General features: G+C 42.6%; 2 long non-coding RNA genes across 3 annotated transcripts in view, besides 1 other annotated feature; one reads left to right on the top strand and one right to left on the bottom strand.

Annotated features, from left to right (window-relative positions):
• Positions 1-23,853, top strand: part of LOC105369812 (uncharacterized) — an 86,311-nt gene that overhangs the window by 41,892 nt on the left and 20,566 nt on the right. Inside the window, exons 4-5 of one of the 2 annotated variants that reach the window (XR_945043.3) lie at positions 15,832-15,896; positions 17,386-19,360. This is a non-coding gene — a long non-coding RNA (uncharacterized LOC105369812). Of the gene's footprint in view, positions 1-15,831; positions 15,897-17,385; positions 19,361-23,853 lie in introns of those variants that run through there. The other variant, XR_001749186.2, reaches the window with a different exon arrangement.
• LINC02420 (long intergenic non-protein coding RNA 2420) lies at positions 4,723-6,284 on the bottom strand. The gene is made up of 2 exons (NR_146500.1): positions 6,019-6,284; positions 4,723-5,197 (listed from the first exon to the last, which is right to left on the bottom strand). It is a non-coding gene; the product is annotated as a long intergenic non-protein coding RNA 2420 (long non-coding RNA).
• Positions 12,101-12,285: a silencer, noted in NCBI's record as "fragment chr12:67842156-67842340 (GRCh37/hg19 assembly coordinates)". NCBI's record gives its function as "represses an EF-1alpha promoter that drives an FKBP-Casp9 reporter gene in an ReSE screen in HepG2 liver carcinoma cells {active_cell/tissue: HepG2}" and the evidence as "EXISTENCE:reporter gene assay evidence [ECO:0000049][PMID:32094911]".

The raw sequence follows: 23,853 nt of genomic DNA on the forward strand, positions 1-23,853 counted from the left end.
GGATTTTTGGTCACTTTAATTATATTCTCTCACTGCACTCAAACGGCAAGACAAAGCCATTCTCTGCCTTTTGTGAGCTGTATGTAAGCACCCTGCTTATCTATCTATCTGTCTAATCTATTACATTTTATTGTGGTATGATTAACATGTAAAACATGTACATATTTAATGTAAACAACTCAGTGAGTCTGGGGATAAGTGTCCACTCATAAAACCATCAAACCTGTAGACATAAATAATCATCTCTCAAAGTTCCCTCCCATCCGTTTGTTATTATTATTATATTGTGGTAAGAACACTCAATATAAGATCTACTCTCTTAGAAAATTTCAAGTATACAATACCATATTGTTAGCTGTAGGCACTATGTTGCAGAGTAGATCTCCAGAACTTATTCATCTTTCATAACTGAAATTGTATATCCTTTGACCAACACCTCCGCATGTCTCCCTCCCCCCAGCCCGTGGTAACCACTATGTCTCTGCTTCTATGAGTGTGACTATTTTTAGATTCCACATATAAGTGCAATTATACAGTATTTTTCTTTCTGAGTTTGGCTTGTTTCATTTAAATAAATAATGTCTTCCAGGTCCGTCCATGTTGTCATAAATGACAGGGTTTCCTTCTTTTTAAAAGCTAAATCAAATTCCGCTGTGTATAAATACCACATTTTCTTTATCCATTCATCTGTTTTGGACACTTAGGTTGATTCGGTATCTTGGTTATTGTAGATAATGCCACAATGAACATGGGAGTGCAGATATCTCTTTGAGTTACCAATTTCATTTCCTGATCATATGGTGGTTCTATTTTTAGATTTTTGAGAAACCTCCATCCAATTTTCCATAAGGGCTATACCAGTTTACATTCCTACCAACAGCACACTAGGATTTCCTTTTCTCCACATCCTCACCAACATTTGTTTTTTTTAATCACCCCACTTTAAAACCACAGTGATAACTTGGTGAGTTTGTTAGTTCTTTAATGCCTGCCCCTCCCTGCCTGCCTTCTGGCATGTCACCCACATGCAGAAATGCATGTTGGGGAGGACGTGTTGGTGCTTCAATATGGGAATAAAAGATCTTTTCCGATGATACAGATATCTTCCTTGTTCCCTACCTCCTTTCCTTTAGAAAATGCACATATCCTCTTCAGGAGATAAAACCTACCCTATTCATGATGGGACAGCACTTTTCTCACTGCCATCTTGAGCCCCATATTCAGGCTACTCATTCATTCATTCATTTGTTCGTACATCCAGTACACAGTGATAGAGGTCCTACTATGTGCCAGACATTATTTGAAGTGCTTGTAATAAAGTAGCAAACAAGAGAGTCAGGGGCCCTGCTTTTATGAATCTTATCTATCTATGGAGCAAAAGGACACAGTGAATAATCAAATAAACAAGTACATGGAAAGACAGCTTTGGATGGTGATGAGTGCCATGAGTGAAATACAACGACATGATAGAGAATGACCAGGGAGGGGACTATCTGGGAAGGCCTCTCTGGGGAAGTCGCATTTGAGATTAGACCCGAGAAGAAGGAGGAGCCAGCCATAGACAGGTCTGGGACAGAGCATTCCGTGTTAAGGGAACATCAAGTGCAAGGGCGAAAAGGCCTCCTTAGCTTGCTGGGAAGCCAAACTTTGCTTTGCTGAAGTTGACAGCGGCTGGGTGTCCAGACGCATAGGCCAGTTTTCTACTCTCCAAACCATGTCACCAGTGAGTGCTCACAGGTTCAAGAACATAGGCTATCTGCTTCACTCCTAACTGCCCCTTTTTGCAGGGTTCTCTCCAGCGAAGAGAATAACACAGATTGTAGAGCTGGTTTTAAGTCACCACCTTTGCTCAATTATCTCGATTTCTCTCTAAGCCTCTAAAGCCTTTGCTGTGATATGCCTACAATACTTACTGAAGCCAAAAGTAGCACACAATTATTCCCCTTAAGTAGTACTAATAGTCATATTGACTTTCAAGTCTTAAGACACTGACCTTAGTTTGGGGACTGATAGTGGGACTGATGTAATGCCCATCTAAGAAAGGATACCTGGGCCGGGTATGGTGGCTCATGCCTGTAATCCCAGCACTTTGGGAGGCCAAGGCAGGTGGATCACCTGAGGTCAGGAGTTCGAGACCAGCCTGGCCAACATGGCGAAATCCTGTTTCTACTAAAAATACAAAAAAATTAGCCAGGCATGGTGGTGTGCACCTGTAATCCCAGCTACTGGGGAGGCTGAAGTGGGAGAATCACTTGAACTCGGGAGGCGGAGGTTGCAGTGAGCTGAGACTTCGTCTCAAAAAACAAAATAGAAAGGACACCTGTGTAGGGGTGAGCAGACCAGCCTCCTGGTGTTCACGGATGAACTTAATCAAGGAGAGTGGGGGGTGGGGCAAAACCCCTTTACAAATCAATTACATTGGAGAAAGAGAAGCAGACTTCAGATAGAAAAGTTATTTACTATGTGTTAAGAGCTATCCGTCTTCTTGGAGTAGAACGACCCATGAGTATGTTTTTGTGAAAGTTCTTCCAGACACGTGGAGGAAATTGTCCCCCCCTCTATTCTTTACTCCTTATGTGCCCATCATCTCTGGAAGTAGTTGAAATACACAGTGCTGTGGTTTGATTCTGTCCCCACCCAAATCTCATCTCGAATTGTAATCCCCACGTGTTGGGGGAGGAACCTGGTGGAAGGTGTTTGGATCACGGGGGCGGTCTCCCCCTTGCTTTACTCGTGAAAGTGAAGGAGTTCTCACGAGATCTGATGGTTTAAAAGTGGTATTTTCCTCTACTCTCTCTCTTGCCTTCTGCCATGTAAGATGTGCCTTGCTTTCCCTTCATCTTCTGCCATAATTGTAAGTTTCCTGAGGCCTCCCCAACCATGTGGAACTGTGAATCAGTTAAAGCTTTTTCTTCATAAATTACTCAGTCTCAGGTAGTTCTTTATAGCAGTATGAAAATAGACTAATACACACAGTGATCACTTTTTATCACATAATTAAATTAAAGAAAGTAGTAAACAGAAGAAAATACTCTGTAATCATATCAAACAAAGTGAGTGTTGCTTGTACCCAAAATTTCTGGGCCAACTCAATTCTAGAGTCTTATTCATCCCCCAAGTAATGCTATGGATCTTCCTGCCTCTTTGTTTAAAGCCCATCCCTGAAGTCTACCCAAGAGGCTGACTTTGATCTCCAAGTTCTGTGCCACATACATCTCCATTAGAATATGTTGCTCATTTCTCCTTCAGGGCTAACCTTTGTATGCAGCATTCATTTACTCATTTAAGACATTTTTGAGCTTGGGCTGTAATCAGTTCAAGGGATACAAGTTTATTCACCATTATGAACAAATTAAACCTGGTTCTGGCCCACGTGGAGCTTGAAGTTTACTGAGGGACATAGACAAATAAGAAAGAGTGATGTGGCGTCACAACTACTTTGACAGAAGTTAAACAGAAGTCACAGGGAGCACAGAGGAGAGAAATGAAGAATGCTACTCTCCCATAGAAAACCAGAAAGACCTCTCTGCCTCTGCTGGTCTCAGGTCTCATCTTCTAGGTATTTCCACTACCTTTTTATCCTCATTCCTGCCTCTGGAGAGCCAAAGGCCACAAGGTGGAACTGCCCATTTCGGTGACTTTCAGCCACATAGCCAGTTAGAAGTCATCTTCTTTTTACCCTTACTATTTGGCAAGTCCCTGTTCTGCATCATTTTTGCCAAACCAGGTTTTCCTCCTAACGTCCTCTGGCCACAGGTTCCTCTTGGCCCACAACAAATGACCAAGGGTTTCCTATTGACAGGAAGATAAGGCTACTATCTCAGTGGGACAAGGATTTAGGGTCATTGTCCCAGGAGTGATGATGCCTCATGCTCTTTGTGACACCTCTAGGTTAAGGGCTTAGGAGAAGACTTTTGTGGTTGTGGGGAGAGTTTTCTCTCTAAAACTAACAAGACTGTATGGGAATATCATCAGCTCCTGAGGCTTCATTAGAGGTGAGCTCTAACCAGAGGATATAGGGGGGAACTAATGATATTAAGTCAACTATTCAAATGAAGAGATTTGCATGCATTTCTAAGCTCAGGACCTGGTAAACCTGCTAGAATTTTAATAATTTAAGCTGTGGCCATCAGCATTTTTATTACACATTGATTGACTACACTGGGTAGGAAATACGCATTAATAAATTCTATTGGATACTTCTGGGGATGAGGTGAAAGTTTCAAGATGAATAGTATTTATTTCTGTACAACAACCACAGCTCTTCTCTTATTCTTTGTGACTCTTATTCAGCTCACATCACAGCAAATGAAGTAACAAGATCACACATTTGTTGTATTCTATGGACCCTCTCTTTCACAGAACCATTACATTACCAGGTTACCCACTGGCTACCCACTGGCTTGAGACTGACAATTCATTAGGTTTTTTTTGTTTGTTTGTTTTTGAGAGGGAGTCTTGCTCTGTTGCCCAGGCCGGAGTGCAGTGGAATGATCTCAGCTCACTGCAACCTCCACCTCTTGGGCTCAAGTGATTCTCCTGCCTCAGCCTCTTGAGTAGCTGGTACTACAGGTATGCACCACCATGCCCAGCTAATTTTTGTATTTTTAATAGAGACAAGGTTTCACCATGTTGGCCATGCTGGTCTTGAACTCCTGACCTCAGGTGATCCACCCGCCTTGGCCTCCCAAAGTGCTGGGATTACAGACATGAGCCACTATGCCCAACTGAACTGATATTTTTATTATCTTTTTTTTTTTCCAGTCGAGAAGCCTGAGCCTCAGAGGGGTAAGTGACTCCTCTCATTTATGCTGCTGGCGTCTGGTGAGGCTTAGTCTCGGCATTCAGGTGTGCAGATGGTTATGTGTGTGGTGGGGAGTAGAAGTCTCTTCTTAATGTTCTGCTGACTGCTCAGTATTTTATGATGAGCCCAAGTCATTTGTCTTGCATCAGTTTTTCCTCCCTTGCTCTAATGCTTCTCTTTAGATAGAGCAAATGTATTCTTTTGTTCACCAGCTGGTCCTTTTACCTTTGAGGAGGTAAAAGAAGTAGGTTTCCAGCAGGGGAAGAGGGAGTATGAATGAAGGTCATGGGAGCATAGAGCAGGAAGAAATGGTCCCAGAGGAGTTGCCTAGTGGCCACCTAGGATGAGAGGCAGATTCGTTGAATCTGTCTTCGATGTAAGGTGATGCTGTGCCTACGGGGATGAAAGAAATGGCAGTGAGGGTGAGCAGCTTCCCAGAATACACCTGGGCCCCGTGCTCATGGTCACTTGTTGGTTGGAGCCACATCTGGGTCTGAGATTCAGGCTGGACACAAGATTGCTGTGATGGATGTACTTTCATTTCATCACATCCTATTTGTATCACAGCAATATCAAGAAAATGAACACACAAAGCTAGATCACCATGGAGAGAAGGCAGTTTAGATGTATTTGTTTTTTCCCCCTGTATTTTTAATGTTTTGCTTGATTTCTCATCATTTGAAGTTGCTCCTCTGATGTTACAGAGATAACATTTGCCTGATGATCTCAGCTAGAAAGTGGTCACAGGAGTAGCATTCCACAGGACACTGAGCATTCGCTCTTGGGAGCACATCGTTTGTATAAGGGCAAAGGAAAAGAAAGGGCAGCCAAGGCTGGGGCGGAAACGCAGCGCCCTCACCTTCGAGAAGGAAGCATGGGGAAGGCGCCCTCTTGTGGAACTCGGCTCACTGTCTAATCTGCCTGGTAACAGGCGCTCTTTATACCAACGGATATATTTTTCCCCATGGATTTGTGTTTGAAGGTATTCTTAGAAAATTTTGAGTACAACTCTCGGCTGCTTTTCATATCCACCAAGAACTGACAATCTGAAGTCAATGTGAAATTCAAAAGGTGGCATTTTTTTAAGAGAGCCAGATTAACTGTGAATTATCTCCCAAATTGGCATGTTGGGTAATTATTTTCATATTTTGGTGCAGAGCCTTTCAAAATATGGGTTTTGCAATTACGTTAAAAAAAAAACCTACTTCTCTCACCTGTGTAGGATTTAAGCAAAGCCCAGGCAGTTTGAGGTTATTTTTAGTCCTGATTAATTATTCAGCCAAGATAATTCCAAGTTCAGCAGCTTATTTGGAAGAGACATGACAGCTGGGCTCTCAAGTCAGCCTCAGGTCAAAGCCGACATCTTCATAGCAAAACCGTGCTCTCCCCACATTTTGGGGAGAGGGCAGCGGGTTGCATTTTCTGTGGCACTGGTGTCAGCTTTGCCAGCCTGGAGCCGGTGAGTGGAGGGAGAAACTGCTGATTCGGGGGCCTTCAGACATGGCCGATTTCACAGCAGCGAAAATAGGTCACTAATGACACGTGGCAATGAGCCAATAAACTGTGGCCAGGAGCTCCGAACGGTCTGCTGGTGGCAAGATACATTTCACTAGAACTCCAGGAAGAAAGCAATCTGCTTTCATTTGTTTAAAACAACCATAGGGTTGCAGAACTCAGAGGCCAAGATTGTTATCTCTCTCCCCCTTACCTTTATATTCCTAAACGTTCAAGTTTATTGTTTCAGTTTATCCCTTTTCCCATGCACTGAAATAACTGTGGCGCTCTTGCTTCTTTTTTGAATAGTCAAGCTGATATGATTCTTTTTTCCCCTCAAGTGCCAGGGGGGAGAATGAAGATGATATGGTTTGGCTTTGTGTCCCCACCTGAATCTCATCTTGAATTGTAATCCCCACGTGTGGAGGGAGGGTCCTGATGGGAGGTGATTGGGGGCTATTGGGAGGATCATGAGGACGGTTTCCCCCATGCTGTTCTCGTGATAGTGAGGGAGGGCTCGCGAGATCTGATGGTTTACAAGCGGCAGTTTCCCCTGCGGCTCTTTTTCCTGCTGCCATGCAAGAGGTACCTTGCTTCTCCTTTGCATTCTGCCACAATTGTAAGTTTCCAGAGGCCTCCCAGCCATGTGGAACTGTGGGTCAATTAAACCTTTTTTCTTCATAAGTTACTCAGTCCCGGGTGTGTCTTCATAGCAATGTGAGAACAGACTAATACAGGAGACAATGATGATATTATCCTTTCTGAATCCCTCTGTGTTGATGCTGATGTGGCTCTAGTCGGTTTAGTCCATACCATACTGATCTTCATAAAACCGTCTCTGTGATTTGGGAGCAGTGTCATGTGTTGCTATTATGTGAGAAAATAGTATTTTTACTTCATTTTGGGTAGTCACTCTGGATTGATGTTTCATGTTAATCTCCTAAAAGAAGAAGGGGGGATTGTAGAGAAGAAGGCTGGGAATGGCTAATCACCTTCCATATAGGCCTGGTGTGATTCAGAACAGAGCTTAGACCAGAGATTCCCAAACCAAAGTGAGCCTCAGCATTCCTGGGAGGTCCTGTTAAAACCTAGGTGGCTGGGCCTCACTCTCTTATTCTGATTCAGTAGGTTTGTACGAAGAGCCCAAGAATGTGCATTTCTAACAAGTTTCCAGGTGATGCTTGTATTGCTGATTCAGGGACCTGCATAAACCTGAAGTGCTGGCTTAGGTAGGTCAGCAGTAGCCTCAGCACTGCCCCACATAAGCAATTTCCCCATCCTAGAACTTCCTCCACACTGCAGACAGTTTAAGAGTAGAGACCATTTCTCATTCATCTTTGAATTTCCAGACTCCAGCACAGTGCTTGACACAGATGTGTTAAATAGTTGTTGAATGAATTAATGACTGAACTCTATCAGCTGATCTTCTTAGAATTTCTTACTTGAAGTGGGTAATCAGAGATGTTTTACTGAAACTCTGGAATTACCTTAAATAGGATATTGGTTGCATTGAATGTAAATGACGAAATCACTGAAATTAATATTTTAAAAGACAATGGGCTGGGTGCGGTGGCTCACACCTGTGATCCCAGCACTTTGGGAGGTGGGGTGGGGTGGGGGTGGATCACGAGGTCAGGAGTTCGAGGCCAACCAATATGGTAAAACCCCATCTCTACTAAAAAATACAAAAATTAGCCAGGCATGGTGGCGCATGCCTATAGTCCCAGCTACTCAGGAGGCTGAGGCAGGAGGATCACTTGAACCCGGGAGGCAGAGGTTGCAGTGAGCTGAGATTGTGCCACTAAACTCCAGCCTGGGTGACAGAGCGAGACTCCATCTCAAAAAACAAGACAAAAAACAATGGAGTAAGGAGAAATAAGGCAACATGCTCTCCTAAGGGTTGCTCAGGTTGAACAAAAGGAGCTAGGTTTTAGGAAGAAGCTGGGCAGAGGAAAGGTGGGCCTACCAAAGCGAACAAGGTGTTTTACCACCATTTGTAATGAGAGACAGAAACCTTCTGCAAGGAGTGTATTAAGAAGATGACCTGGCACCTTTTCCCTGGAAGGTCCCATTCACTGAACCTCACAGGGCAGGGTAAGACATAGTTCTTGTATCAAGGAAGAGTTTTTGGCATGGTTTGTGACTTAGGGACTATGTAATATGTTGGTAACCAGTATGTAAACCCTGGAGATCAGCTCCTAGGACTCCTCTGATCTGTGTGTTCATTCTTTTATTTGGATGGGAACGAAGGGAAGAATGGAGTTTGAGTCTGGTTTGGTTGGAACCTTCCATCCCTCATGACCTTACGGCTGCCTTAGCGTGTGTCCTCTCCACGTGTTGCTGGGCATTTTCTGGCATGCCTCTTTTGTTTTTTGTGGCTTTCTTTTTCTCATGCTATCCTTCTGCTTGGAATGTCTCTCTCTACTGTCCAACCAGCCTAATCCTGGATAATTCAGACTTAACCATTTATAACTTCCCCTAGAAGCTACCTCTCCCAGGAAGTATCTTTAGGTGTCTCTTCTCTGTGTTCTTATAATACCCTATGAATACCTCAATCACTCATTCACTTATTCATTCAACAATTATCTATTGAGTTCCTAATAGGTGCTAGGCATAGTGCTAGTCATTGGGGATATAAAGATGGACATGACATAGCTCTTGTCCTTAAGTAGCTCATTGCCTAGTGAGAGGATATAAATAATTAAACAAGTAATTGCAATACGAAGTGCAAAGTCCTCAGATAGGAGTAAGCACTGTTGCTATGGAAATACCTAGAAAGGACGCCTAACTCTAACTTGAGGTGTCAAGGAGCATTTTCTAGATTAGCAATCCCCAACTTTTTTGGCACCAGGGGCCAGTTTTGTGGAAGACAATTTTTCCACTGATGGGCAAGGGGAGGGATGGTTTCAGGATGAAACTGTTTCACCTCAGATCATCAGGCATTAGATTCTCATAAGGAACGTGCAACCTAGACCCCTCGCATGCACAGTTCACAATAGGGTTCACATTCTTGTGAGAATCTAATGCCACTGCTAATCTGACAGGAGGCAGAGCTCAGGTGGTAATGCTCACTGGCCTGCTGCTCACCTGCTGTGCAGCCTGGTTTTTTTTCTTCTCTTGTTTTTTTTTTTTTTTTTTTTTTTGAGATGGAGTTTTGCTGTTGTCACCCAGGCTGGAGTGCAGTGGCACAATCTCTGCAACTGCTGCCTCCTGGGTTCAAGTGATTCTCCTGCCTCAGCCTCCCAGGTAGCTAGGATTACAGGTGCCTGCCATCACGCTCAGCTAATTTTTGTATTTTTAGTAGAGATGGGGTTTCACCATGTTTGCCAGGCTGGTCTCAAACTCCTGACCTCAGGTGATCCACCCATCTCAGCCTCCCAAAGTGCTGGGATTATAGGCGTGAGCCACTGCACCCAGCCATGCAGCCTGGTTTCTAATAGGACACAGACTGGTGCTGGTCCATGGCCTGGGGGTTGGGGACGCTTATTTTAGATAAAGAAACATCTTACTCAAGATCTAGCAGGTTGAATAGAATTTAGCCAGACAAAGAGATGGGAGAAGAGCATACCAATGAGAGGAGAAGCTTTTGCAAAGCTCATTATTTGTTTATATGATTAGCTGAAGACTGTAGACTCTGGGGGCTGAGACTGTGTTTTATTCCTTAGTCTAGTCCTAACTCATAGCATCGTACCTGGCATACAGTAGATGTCCAAGGAAAAATTTCTTGAATGTGTGAATGAATGAATTAGCCTCTGCTGCAATGGCTGTTGAGAGTACTAACCAGTAACCTCAGAAGGTGGTGATTCTTAGAAAGTGAACCTTTGTTGGCTCAATGGCTCTCTATTCTAATTCTTGTATGCCCTTCCTATGTGCTTATCAGTTGGTTAGCAGACATTAAAATTGTGTGGGTTCTATGTGCAGGTTCATTTCATGTTCTGAGTACGATTGCTGATATGATTTCCATGTAGCAGCAAACTGCTCCAACCCAATGCTTTGAAAACAAATGTGCAAATTCCGAAAAGAGGATTAATGCAAACAAGGTTAGAACCGACTGAGCATTTTAACACTGCATGAAATATAAACAAATCAAACTGTGTTTTCAGAAACAGACTTCTTTTTTTATGATTGGAAAAATACTGCTTTTGTTGTTGTTGTTGTTGCCTCCATTGTCAGTTGCCTCTCGAAGTGTGTTCTGCTGTTAATGGAACAGCGAGGCAGGTCTGCAGGCCCACGCGTCTACCCACTCATTGTCAGTGAGCACTGGCTTTCTGAATCACCTGGGAAAATGGGAAATGATTAACTCAAAGCAAAAAAGGTGACTTACATTTTCTGAATGAATGATAGTGATTGAAGTGCTAACTCCTAAGAGATTTGCAGAGGAGTTCATGCAAGGGGTAGAGAGCGTCCCTGTGTTCTTAGGAGTTGCTTTAATAAAAGGAGCCCTGGCTCAGAGTGGGGGAGGCAAAGCAGGCAAGAAGCAGTGAGTGGGAGAATTGAATAACTTGATTGGAGAATCCTTGTGCTACTCCTCTATGCCCTGATTGTGTGGGCTGACATCTGGCTGCAAATAGATGCTCAACAAAGGATCATGGCTAACCACAGCTCCTAACAGTGCTTTGAAACTGAGTGCACATTAGAATCACACTGCAGTTTTAAAAAATACCAACCCTAGGGCTTCATCCCAAGAGTTCCTGATTTAATTGGTGTGGGATAGGACCCAGGCATCCATATTTTTTTAAAAGCTCCCCAGGTGCTTCTATTTGAAAGCCAGGATTAAGACTAATTGTTTGTAGTGGTTTAGGAGAGCCTCTTGCCAGCCAAGGAGTGGCTCCTTCACTATGAGCTATCATCCCTTGTCATGATCTCTCTTCCAGGACAAGAGCAGAGAAGGGAGTACAAGAAAAGAGGAGTAATTAAGGGTTTAGTGTGATCCTTTTAAAACCCCAGTCCAGAGAGGCTTTAAGAAGCACAGGTTAGGTCCACACTGATTGATATTGTTATCCTTGAAATTGAAAAGAGAATATGGAGAATAATGAAGAGTTAGCAATAATGATGTGGCAATGGGTTATTGGCAAGGTACTTCCAGAAGGTCTTGAAATATGTTTGGCAAGAAACTCACTGATCAGATGAAGAGACCTGTAAAGTGAAATTTGAAGGGAAATAAAGATACTGAGGGAAGTGGGGAGAGGAACTGTGGAACTAGAGATCAAGGAATAAACTGCTATATGATTCATTTGAAAAACAAGGGAGGCCTCTCTGAGATCCCCAGGAGAGACAAGGAAAAGGCACAGGGATAATGCTCACAGGTATGGATGGTGACATATGTTTCATAATTTCAGTTTAGAGAAATTAATATAATTTTTTTCAATTTATTATTTAAAGTACCACCAACACTATTAGGGTGAGACTTACAAGTGGAACCCTCCACCAGAATTCTGCCCTCCAGTTACAGATTTCCAGAAGGTGGAAAGCATTGCAACATTCACATACTATGTTCCATCCCAAGCCTTATGAGGTCTTCAAAACCATACCACAGTATTCTTGGGGGAAAGTGTCTTCATAGAGAATATTTCAGCACTCATTTTAATAATACATCCTTAAGCTGTTCTAATTTGTGCCCATCTCAATGCCAAATTCAAATTTACTTGAAAAAAACAAAAACAAAAACCACTAGTCTAGTTCAACCTCAGAGGTCCTAGGTTTCTTTCCTTGACCACCTCCTATGCTGAGCTTCCATCTTGTCCCTCCTGGCTGGAGCAGTTAGGTTTACCGGAGCCACATAAGTGAGAGCTACCATTGGCCTTACCTTGGAAAGCCCAAGCTTTCTGGCATAAAGGAACTCAGATCCCTTAGGACCCTGGGAATCTCACATGCCTCTGACTCCTTCAAGAGGTGCAGCATCTGTATAACCGAAACGACCACCCTCTACTTCCCTGTCATGTCTTGCTTGGCTCTGGAGAGCACAGAGGGGAGGCTTCTGTGGATCACCCCTCCACCTTGTATACACACCTCCTAGAATTGGTGTCTCACTGCCTAATTATGTGCCAATGGCTCTGATCTGTAAACAGGATATTGATATTAGATCTCACATAGTTTAAGCTTCTGCCAGTAGAATTTAGCTACCTTCCCGATATCTTCCTGCTATGTCAGAAAGCACAGCTCCTAAGCCCTCAGTACGGTAGTCCATGGTTTAAACTGAGGGAAAGGACTTGATCAGCTGATACTAGTGCAAGAACCTGGCTGAAAGAGATCATGAAGGCCCTGAGCATCTGCTTACAGGCCTTCCCTTTTCAGTTTTCAAAATGTTCAAAAGGGTGGAGGGCCCTGGCTTCTCTCTTATCCATGGAATGCCTTTTCTGGTGCCTTTTCTTACTGTCTCTGGCCTGACATGCTTGGGTCAGGTCAGAGAAGGGCTTTGCCTTAATGGCATGTTTATCTTCAAATCTCTCTTAGTATCCACTAAGCCTATAGGTCTTTGATTCTCTAAGGTTCATGGGAAACAGCTAAGGAGTGCTAGGGAAGATCTACTCAGGATCTGCTCTTACCCCATTATGATGCTAGCCATCTAGCAGAACTTGCACAGTATTTAAAAATGAACAATGTCAACTCTGCTTCTTCCAGGCAGTTCTGAACTGGGGATGAACGTTCACATGCCTCAAAGGTCTTATATAATTTGGTTTCTAAAGAAATTAGCACTCCAGGTATTTGATATCATGATCATCCTTTTTACCAATTACTCGATAGTGTCTGGAGCCCCCAAGATCCCTTGTGACCTTTGTCTAAAACTGAGAAAACCCACTGAGTGAGCAGCAAAACTGTCTTCTCCTTTTACCTCTTAGCATCTGAATCTGATACTTATCACTCTTTAAAACCTAAACCAAAATCCATTGTCTCTGGTAAGCAGTGTTGGGCATTCTGAATCTAGAATTTGGGTTCGAGTTTCCTTTGGTGTCTATTTAAAAAAAACAATTGTTCATGCAAGTCTAAATGTTATCTGAATTTTTATTCTTCACAGTGCATGTGCTGTGGGGCTCAGAGATACTAAGTGTGATGTTTTAAACGGTTACTCTTAGAAAGAGTGACTCATCTCAACTTTCCCTAAGTGGTCATGTATTTTGCATATCTATTCTAGAATGCTCTAGGCCCATGGGCAATGCACATTGCACTCACAGAGGGCATACACTTGGCATCTGCCTTAGAATACTCTCCTTAGCCACATCTTTATCTGCTTGACTACAAAACTGAAACTTTCCGTGCTGTTGGGGATCTGTTTTAGACACTCTCGAGTTAAAATGAACGAGCCAGTGCTTGAATATTTCCTCTTCCTGTTTGTGTAGCCTTCTGCACATAGGTAGCGATGGTAACTGCCCAAGTGTGTTGCCATTACATCTGGACTTGCAGATGCAGAGCAGGCCCTATGGATCCAGCTCCCTCTCACAGATACCCTGGGTTTGATGTGCTCTTCTCTCATCGGACTCCCATACCCACCCCCAGTTTTTCCCTGACTCTCATTCACATCTGTAGGAGTGGGCGGGAGGCTTTAGCACTTAGGCCACAGAATCTGAAGCCAGGATGAGGGCACAGGTGCTGGCTCTCAAGTGTCCTTAAAGACTCCCTAACCAGCACCACTGAGCTCTAAGTATCTCCTTTCCTTGTGGCTTCTTCCATCCTGGCCTTTCTAGATCCTGTGGGTTGAGGTCTGAAGTTTTTGTCCAGCATGATCTACTTCCTGGAAGGCTGAAGACCACACAGATCCTGGGCTGATTCAGCTTCCCAACCTTCTCCAAGTGGCTTCTACCACTGGGATACCAAAAAGGGGTTGTCCACTGAGTTTTGGTTGTCAACCAAATTCAACCACCAATTTTGCCTATTCCCTTCCCTTCCATAGCCATAGGATGTTACCAGATGGTGATATAGTTTGCATGCTTGTCCCTGCCAAAATCTCATGTTGAATTGTATCCCCAGTGCTGGAGGTGGGGCCTGGCGGGGGGTGTTTGGGTCATGGGGGTGGATCCTTCATGGCATGGTGCTATCTTTACCATAGTGAGTGAGTTCTCACGAGATCTGATTGTTTAGAAATATGTGGTACTTCCCCTCCCCGCACCCTCTCTCTCTCTTGCTCTTGCTTTTGCCACATGATGTGCCTGGTCCCCCTTCACCATCCATCATGATTGTAAGTTGCCTGAAACCTCTTAGAAGCTGAGCAGAGGCCAGCACCATGCTTCCTGTAAAGCCTGCAGAATCGTGAGCCAATTAAACCTCTTTTTTTTTTTTTTTTTAAATAAATCACCCAGTCTCAGGTATTTCTTTATAGCAATGCAAGAATGGCCTAACACAGATAGTCGTCTTTTTCCTTCTTTAGGTACCACCTCTCCCCGACCCCCTAACCTCTCCAATGCTAGCAAGTGTGATTCTTAAAGCTTAATTGGCACCATGGGCATGGTATAATCCATGCCTATAGGTCTGGTGCAGGATGAGTCCTCCTCTACACTGGTCCTCAGTGCCCTAGTGGGACCTTGAAGTTCCTGAATTTCCATTCCTTCTTTTCCTGTTTAATGTTATTAAGTGAAAGAAATAAGAGGGCGATCTCTGGTATGTAGCCAGAGTTCCTGCTGCAGCTTCCTTCTTAGAAATTACCTAAGAACCGCTTCATATGTTTTTCCCTCTCTCCTGTCTTTTTTTCTACTGCATTCTATAACAAGGTTTCCAGACTCGGTTTATCAGCAGAGATCATTCTCCTTCCCTTCATATCTGATTGGAAATTAGACCTGCACAGTCCTGTGGCTGTTGGCATTCAGGAAGGCTGGCTGGAGAGTCTTTACTGTTCTGAGCCTGACAGGAGGCAGTGTTTGCCTTGAGGCCATCAGAGACCTCAGATACCTCAGAAAGCCGAGGCTGTCTACCAGCTGCCTTCTCCCATCTACACCTGGCCCCTACCATTCTTCGTTCTTGTAGCATCTCAGAGGTGTGACCCAGCCAGGGTCAGAAGGTTCCCTCCCCAACCCCCACCTCCTCCTCCCACCCACCTCCACCCCAAGTGCTGGAGCAGTGCATCCTGGAATAGTTTCAGCTTTTTGTAACAAACAGCTTTAGCAAATGTGTGGCCTGCAACTCCAATTGGTGGTTCTGATACATGGACCTAGTTTTCAAAACATTTATATACCCAGGAATTTTCACATGTACATGTACAACTTGATGGATCATCAGAAACTAAATATTCCTGTGTAACCAGAACCCCAGTAAAGAAGCAGAATATTACCAGCATCCCAAAGCTTCCTTAATCCTCCTTTCTAGTCACTCTGGATTTCTAGCAGCATGGATAGCTTTACCTGTTTATAGATCTTATACTGATGGAAGCAAATTCATAGTTTATACAATTTTGTGTCTGACTTTGGTGCAACATTATGTTTGTTCAATACATCTATATCATTGCATGTGGTCATAGATCATGCATTTCATATATTGTGTAGTGTATGTGTGAATATACCACATAAAAAATCCATTTTACTATTTTTCTCCATTTTTTGCTCCAGATTTTGGCCATTACAAACAGTGCTGTTGTGAATGTTGTGCCTGCCTGTCTTCCAGCTGGACATAGGTAGGTGTTTCTGTTGGGTGGTATGCAGAAGTGAAAATGCTGGGTCATGATATATGCACATGCAGCTTTGGAAGATACTGCCAAATAGTTTTTCAAAGTGTATGAGAGTTTCAGTTCCTCCCCATCCTCGCCCACACTTGGTATTTTCTGCATTTTTATTGTAGCCATACTGGTGGGTGTGTGGTGGTATCTCACTGTGGTTTGAATTTGAATTTCATTTTGAGTGGCTCTGTGGCAGCTCAGGAATGAAGCTAGGGCATCAGATAAAAGATGTTACCGCAGACATATGTCTGTTCTCGCTTTTGAGAGATGCGGCTATATTAGTCTGTTCTCATGCTGCTAATAAAGACATAACTGAGACTGGGTAATTTATAAAGGAGAGAGGTTTAATGGACTCACAGTTCCACATGGCTGGGGAGGCCTCACAATCATGGCAGAAGATGGAGGAAGGGAGAGCAAAGGGACATCTTACATGGCAGCAGGCAAGAGAGCGTGTACAGGGGAAATGCCCTTTATAAAACCGTCAGAGGCTTATTCACTATCATGAGAACAGCACAGGAAAACCCTGCCCCCATGATTCAGTTACCTCCCACTTGGTCCCTCCCATGACACGTGGGAATTATGGGAGCTACAATTCAAGATGAGATTTGGGTGGGAACACAGCCAAACCATATCAGCAGCCTTTCTCCCCACTTTAGAGATATCTTATTTGTAGAGGCTAGCTTGAAAATCCAGAGTCTTTTAAGTCAGCCTACATTCTCAGAAAACATGCTATTGTTACTAGGCCTGGACACATCATGAAGTATCATGCAAGTGACTTTGCCTGACGGATACACTCATTTTCTCTTCTATCTACAAACAATAGTGGAGTCCTATATATGCCAGGCACTTTTCTAGGTGTTGAGAGTACAGCAGGAAACCAAACAGAAGGTAGACTCTTCGAAGCTAACATTCTAGGGGAGAGAGACAATCAACAATACAATGAGGAGAAATAGATGGTCAGACAGTGACTGGCACTGTGGAGAAAAATAAGGCAAGAAAGGTTGAGGATCTCCAGGCACAGCTTTCAATAGAGTGGTCAGGGATGGCCTCACTGACAAGGTGACATTGGAACAAAAGCCTTAAGCTTCCATGGGAACAAGCTATGTGGGTATGTGGGGAGGAACATTCTGGAGGAAAAACCACGTGCAAATGTCCTAAAGTGGGAGCATGTTTGAGGAACAGCAAAGAGACCATTGTGGTTGGAACCAAGTGAGCAAGAGATGATGTGGTGCAGAAAAGGAGAAGGTTGTGCTGGGCCTGACAGGCAACCCAAGGACTCTCAGTTCTGAGTGAAACATCCTCAATGGTGCTCCAGTATCACCTTCATGGAGCGTCCCAGTATCAAATCTTCCTATCAACTGAGACGAGTTGGCTCTCTTTCCATAGCTTAGGATGTGTCAGGTTAGAATCCCCTCTGCCCCTAATCAAATCTTTTCTGCTTATTTAGAGGTCATTTTGACTGGCGCGGCAGAATGAGGAGGGACAAGGTAGAGTATGAGGATCTCACTTTTTCTGTGATTTGGTGAACAACATGAACAACACTGGAGTTTAAATGTTCCTAAGAGAGTCCCCAGGCTGTCCCTCAACACCAAGCCTCAGCAGCACATGGGGATGAACAGGGCACAGCGTCAGTTAAAATTCAGTCTGTAGGATCCGCATTTCTCACCTGTGTCAGAGACACCTGGATCCCACCCTGCAGGCCCCTCTCCCCTACCAAAGGTCTGTTGGGGCAACTCCCAGAGGGAATCCAACATGTGCCCTTGATTTAGGCAAATGTAGCTGTGAACGTTCTAAAGAGGAATAGGAAAGAAGGGGCCTTGGTATCAGAATAGACTGAGCAGAAGAGAAAGACCCAGAAAAAGAAAGTAATAGTATATGATAAGGGGAGCATTAATCAATTAATTGCAGTGGGAGAATCTGGCTAAGCATTGGGGAAAACAGAAAATTATTTAGTCCATAGCTCATATCAAAATTAACTTCCGTAAAAATATGACAATAAAATATGGGCAATTTTTTTTTTTTTTACAACAGAGAAGGAGAGAGACTTTCTATATAATCCAAAAAGTAAACCACCATCATCATCATCAACATCTAATACTCTGTGCTTTACTTCTATCAAGTAATTTAATCCTCACAATCACTTTGTTTGGTAACATTAATTTTTCTCATTTTCTACATGGTAAAATTGAGGCACAGACAGGGTAATTTTCCAAAGGCCCCAACAAGTGGCAGTGCCAGGATTCAAAGCAAACAAGTATGACTTCAGGGTTCCTCCTTCTATATTACCACAAAAGAAAATATTGAGAGATGTGAATACACGAATTAAAAGCTGTATGAAAAAAAATCATGTAGAGGAAAGGACAAATGACTGGCGGAGGAGGGGGAATCCCACCACATATGTAACAGATAAAGCATTAATATCCTTTACAGAACAATTTCTCAAATGTTAGTGCTCAGAACACCAATGTCCTGAACCATGCCAATGGGTGTTCTGGGAGGAAAAAGAAAAAAGTCCTCACGGTCAATGAAGTTTAGGAAATGATGTGTTAAATCTGACCATGGAAGTCTTTTTTCCCCTCAGTTCACCTATTAACATCTCACGGGACAATAAAACTTCTGAAATACAGCCCAGAAGATCTCATCTTTGTATGTAATGAGTTCCTACAAATCAGGAAGGAAAATATGAAAAATCCCAATAGAAAAATGGACGCGAGAAAAAACAGACAGTTCAAAAAAGAAAAAATATAAATAGCTGTAAGCATACAGAAACATATTCAACCTTGTTATTAACGAAGGAAAATGAAATACAGAGGTACCAATTTTTATCTTTCAATTGGGAAAAAAGGCTTACACCCAGCATTTGTAAGAGTAGGAGGAAAAAACCACACTCTTACAAAATCAGTGAGATTGACTAAACAAGTACACCTTTTCTATGGGAGGGCAATTTGGCACTATGTATCAAAGGTCTTAAAAAAATATATAACTTGATCTAGCAAAGTTTGTTCAGAGAAACTTATAAAGAAATACAGTAGGTCCTAGAATAATGTTTTTCCTGTCATTCAACATTATTTTCTTGCAACATTGACAAGAAAAAATATTGATTCCCTGCCGGGGCCACTGTCTGTGTGGAGTGTGCACGTTCTCCCCATGTCTGCATGGCTTCTGTCCATGCACTCCCGTTGCCTCACACATTCTGAAGCTGTGCATGCTAGGTGAACTGGCTTGTCTCAATGGCCCCAGTCTGAGTGGGTGTGGGCGGGTGTGTGAGTGCACCCTGCGATAGGATGACGTCCTGTCCAGAGTTAGTTCCCACCTTGCACCCTGAGCTCCCAGGACAGGCTCTGGTCACCCAAGACCCTGAACTGGAATAACTGGGTAAAAAATGACCTGACTTATTTTTATTAATCTTTTAAAAATGTATGTATAGCTCACATTTATTTTAATGTTTAATATTACAAGTGTTTGGGGTCTTTATTTAGAAGCTTGATATTTTAGTGACCAGAAATATGCTGTGGGAACTTAACTCTTGTTTATATCAGTTAGCCTTTGGTAAAATTGGTTTCCTTATATGTTGTTTTGCTTAAAGTTGTTCCAGTTAAAGTCACAATTTCCAAGAACCTATAGGGGACATGAAGTGAGGACCTGCTGTAATTGGACAAGTGGGCAAGGATGTATGTACAGGGGAGTTCATTGCAGCATGATTTGTATTAGCAAAAATGTCTATTAATATGAGTCAACGAACATTTATACATTGAAGTACTGTGTACCTCTTAAAAACAGTGATATTGATCTGTTGTAGTCCCATGGAAATATATCCAATGTATATGTAAAAATAATCAGATTACCAAATAATTTATAACTACCTTTGTAAGAAAAATAAAAGAAAATAAGATGGAAAGCATATATATTTAAATGTTAATGGTGATTAGTTTTCTCCAGTGGTTGAATTTCAGTTGATTTTTACGTTTTCTTTATACCTTTCTGCATTGTCTAATGTTTTTTACATTGATCACTTGTTACTTTGAAACTAAAAATGGCTATTACTGTTTTGAAACATGACATTTTTACTACTCTGAAAAGGTGAAACACATTAGAGAACTAAGAGGATTTAATTCTTTAATGAATGTGTAGTTTTTTGTTATGCTACGGAACTTAGCCTCAGCCTAATAAGCTAAACCCAAAGTGAGGGTGAGTAAGATTCAAGAGGAAGAAGACAAAGAAGCTTAAAAAAATCTGAAGTCTGTAGAAATAATAGATCTTTCTAAAAGGGATATAGAGAAAAGAGGGAATTAACCTTCACATGGTTCAACTGCTGCATTGAATCATTGGCTTGTCAGAGGAAAAACCTGGACAGTTAACGGTTCTTCTTGTGTCAGGCAGGGAAACAAGCAGATGTCAAATAGTGTTTGGCAAACGGACCTGCAGAGCCACCCTCCAGCAGTTTCTGAAGGGAATCTCAACTCCTTGTTCCTGAATTTGTGGAACAGGATCTGGGCCAACTCCTTCCCCCACCTCCCGCCTTTTTTTTTTTTTAACTAACCCAAAATGAACTCCTTATGCAAAGTCTGGATGGTTTCCAACCCACCCAGTGCTCAAGGTTGTCAGCCAGCTGTTGGCAGCTCACACTGACTCATTTTCTTTTCTCTTAAATGGTGCAGAAATATGTTGCTTTACATACAGAGGAGAAAAAAAAAAAGCATTGAAGGACCTAATTTGAAAATACCTCACATCTCCTAAAATCAGCCTTAAGACCTAGTCAGTTTATTTCCCCATTCATTCTGTGGTACTAAATGTGTTGAAGTGGGAGGGTCCCACAGAGAACTACCCTTTTGATGATATGTCAAGGGAATTCCTCAGCAAATTCTCCTGGAAAGGAGATAACTTGAATATTAACGAAGAATCTATCTCCCTTGCCATTCTCTTGCCACTGCCAACTGAAAATGTAGCATTTTATATTTATTTAAAACAGAATCTATCATAAAATAGATCTATTTTAAGAAATTGAATATTTAAGGAATGTATCATCCTTACTCTCTATCATCCAGTCTTGTTGGGAGGTAATGTAGCCTAGTGGTTAATATCAGAAGCACTGGAGTCTGTTTCCTCATCCATAAAATACTATCTACCCCCACTGGGCTGTTGTGAAGCTTAAATGAAATGTTTTAGAAGTATGCAGTGCTGGCCTGGCACAGGCCAGTTAATGGAGGCCAGCAATAAACACGACTTTTACCCCTGGATCACAATCAACATAGCAAGCATCTTCACAGAATCCTTAGATATTTAGAAAGGCAGGCGTCACAAACTTTTTTTTTTGTTTCAAAATGTCCTTCTCAGAAACACCACTGTTTGCTGGGTTAGGAGGTAAGTTCTCCCACCCCTAATCTACCAGCCCCACTCACCAAGTGTTGCTGGATCTCTTCCCTCACTAACACCACCCTCTGGGGTCAAGGATTCAGCCTTCTTTTTCCAGGGGTGGGAGGTAGGTTTTGTAAGGGTCTTGGATTATTGACACAAAGGCCATCCACAAGGGGCAATCAGATGGGCTCAGCACATTCTGGAGTCACGGAGGATCATCTGCGGCAATGTGAGAATGGGTCATGGGAGGCCCCTGCCCAGCCCTAAGGAAAAAAACAAGTGAGGGGGCAGAGTCTTGTGCTCGTGACAGGAGCCAGCCAGATTCACAGCAGCCCTCCTGGTAGTGGCCGCCCACAAATCTTTGAGCAGAAACTCTCTGAACTGCCTTTCCTCCTGAGCCTGGGTGGAAACAAAACTTCAGAACAATAACTTCTCCTTTCCCTCGGCCTTCCAGTCATAACTCTAATTCTTCTTCAGGCCAAGTGGATCCTTCTGCCCACTAGGGGAAAGGACAGGAAGTGCTGAAAAAGAAAACACGATGATGAGTATTTCAAGATCTTCTCTTCCACCCTCGCAATGATGGCCTTTTCTTAGTTCTGTGTAGCTGTTGGGAAGGCAAGGAAAAAGGGAGAACTGGGAGTGTGGTGCCTCCTTGGGAATTTCTCTGGATGGAGAATACGAAATTGAAAAGCCAAGAGTTCCTGCTTCGGGAGTGGGGAGTAGGGACTCTTTCTCCATGCGTTCCATATCTTCAGAATAATTTCATGCTCAGCATTTTTGCCTTTTCTCTGAAGTCCTCCCCAAGTCCTGGAAGAACCAAGAAATCACCATGGCTCCGACAGAATTTGTTTTAAGCAAGACTCAACTTGTCAGCTGATGCCACAGCGACCTCCTGCTAGACTATGAGTTTCACAGGCTCAGCACTGGTTAGGAACTGCTAGACTTTCAGACAGGGCTGGCTCCAGTTTTTCCCTCTGATTCATGGATTAAAGTGGAATTTTCCAGTGAGGCTTGATCTAGGAGGAATTCTTCTCTTTGGGTCCACAAGTTCTCTTTATTCTGCAAAGGAATCCTACCCTGTGGCCATAGTTGGGCAGTCTCTGTCTATTCCATCAACCGCCAGACCTCAGATGAGAAGAGAAATAGGCATCCCTGGCAGAGAGATCTCCAAATACAGAGTGTTTTTCACTCATTCACGCAAGAGTCACAGGCTCATTGATAACAGTGTATAGGGGTTTGGGTTCTCCATTTTTATTAAATAATGTATTATTACTATGAAAGTTTTCACATCTAAGAAATCAAACGGTTTTACAATTGTAAAAGGGTTGTGCAACTTTTACATCCTTTCTAGCATTAACAGCATTATTTTTAAAAAATAAAATTAATAATAAAAATATTTTTTATTTTCTAATAGACAGTTTTTTTCTATTTGAAAAAGCTGTAACAGACAAAATTTCAGCTGTTAAAATATTTATTTCTTGATTTGCTAAGTAACTGTGAGAGTATTATTTGTTAAAAGTTGGACTTACTTGCATTTTGAGTACATGGTAATATTGCCATTGGAATGTAAATCTAAGAAAGTTTAATCCCTAAAATGCTGTTACTAGATGAAATGCTAAGTCAGACCCCAGTAATGATGACTAGTGTGAACATGAGATAATTAATGACTCTTTATTATGTAGGGTCAGAGTAGTAGACCTTGAAATAGAACATTGGCATGGCAGCAAGGACACAGCACATGAGATTTACGAGGACCAAGACTTTCCAGACTATGGGGGGTGAGTGAGCACCAGCCCAGGATGGCAGGCATCACATTCATTTCCCAACCACTTCTTAAGGGTTATTTCTGTAGACAGGCAATTGCTGTGGTTGGAGTAGGAATGGAGAGAGTAGAGGAAGGATGCCTTGGTGTCTTTTCAAGTGAATACTTAAAAAAAAAAAAGGTTCTTGAAAGAAAGGTCATTCTTTATTTTGCTTGGCTTGTTCTTTCTATTTGGAAAACTTCCCAACAGAATCTACTACCCAGTTTCTTCAAGTCATGCAGAGTCAAAGGACAGAAGAGATAAAAATGTAGATCTTATTTTGCAGGGGTTTATTGACCTCCTGTGTTTGCCATCTTACCAATGAGCCTTGTTGGGTGAGATGGCAGTAAGAGGGCAGCCCGTATTTAGAAAGTGCACAGTCACACACCTCACAAGCTGTGACATCAGTAGATCTTGGAAGCAATAACAACTATGCTCATAGGTCTGATGGTATCGACGGGTTCCTATTGTTCCAACAATATCTGAGACTTAGATGCCAGGGAGTCTGCAGTTAGAATCCCCTTCCCTTTTCTGCATATGTATGTGAATGTTTCTTGCCTTATACTGGAGTACGCTAAAGAAGAACAGAAACTCAATGCCCAGCCTTTCTTTAATCTTACCCTCATTTCAGATATAAGAAAGAACGTTTATATTCCAACCTGGAGTTTTACCTGTAGTTTAGTTTCATTGCAAAACTCTATTCATGCTTTCCTCATACTAGCCTTGAGCTCTTTACTATAATGGGCCTATGGAAATTA

This window comes from Homo sapiens, chromosome 12, assembly GCF_000001405.40.
Source record: "Homo sapiens chromosome 12, GRCh38.p14 Primary Assembly".
Classification (NCBI taxonomy): Eukaryota; Metazoa; Chordata; class Mammalia; order Primates; family Hominidae; genus Homo; species Homo sapiens.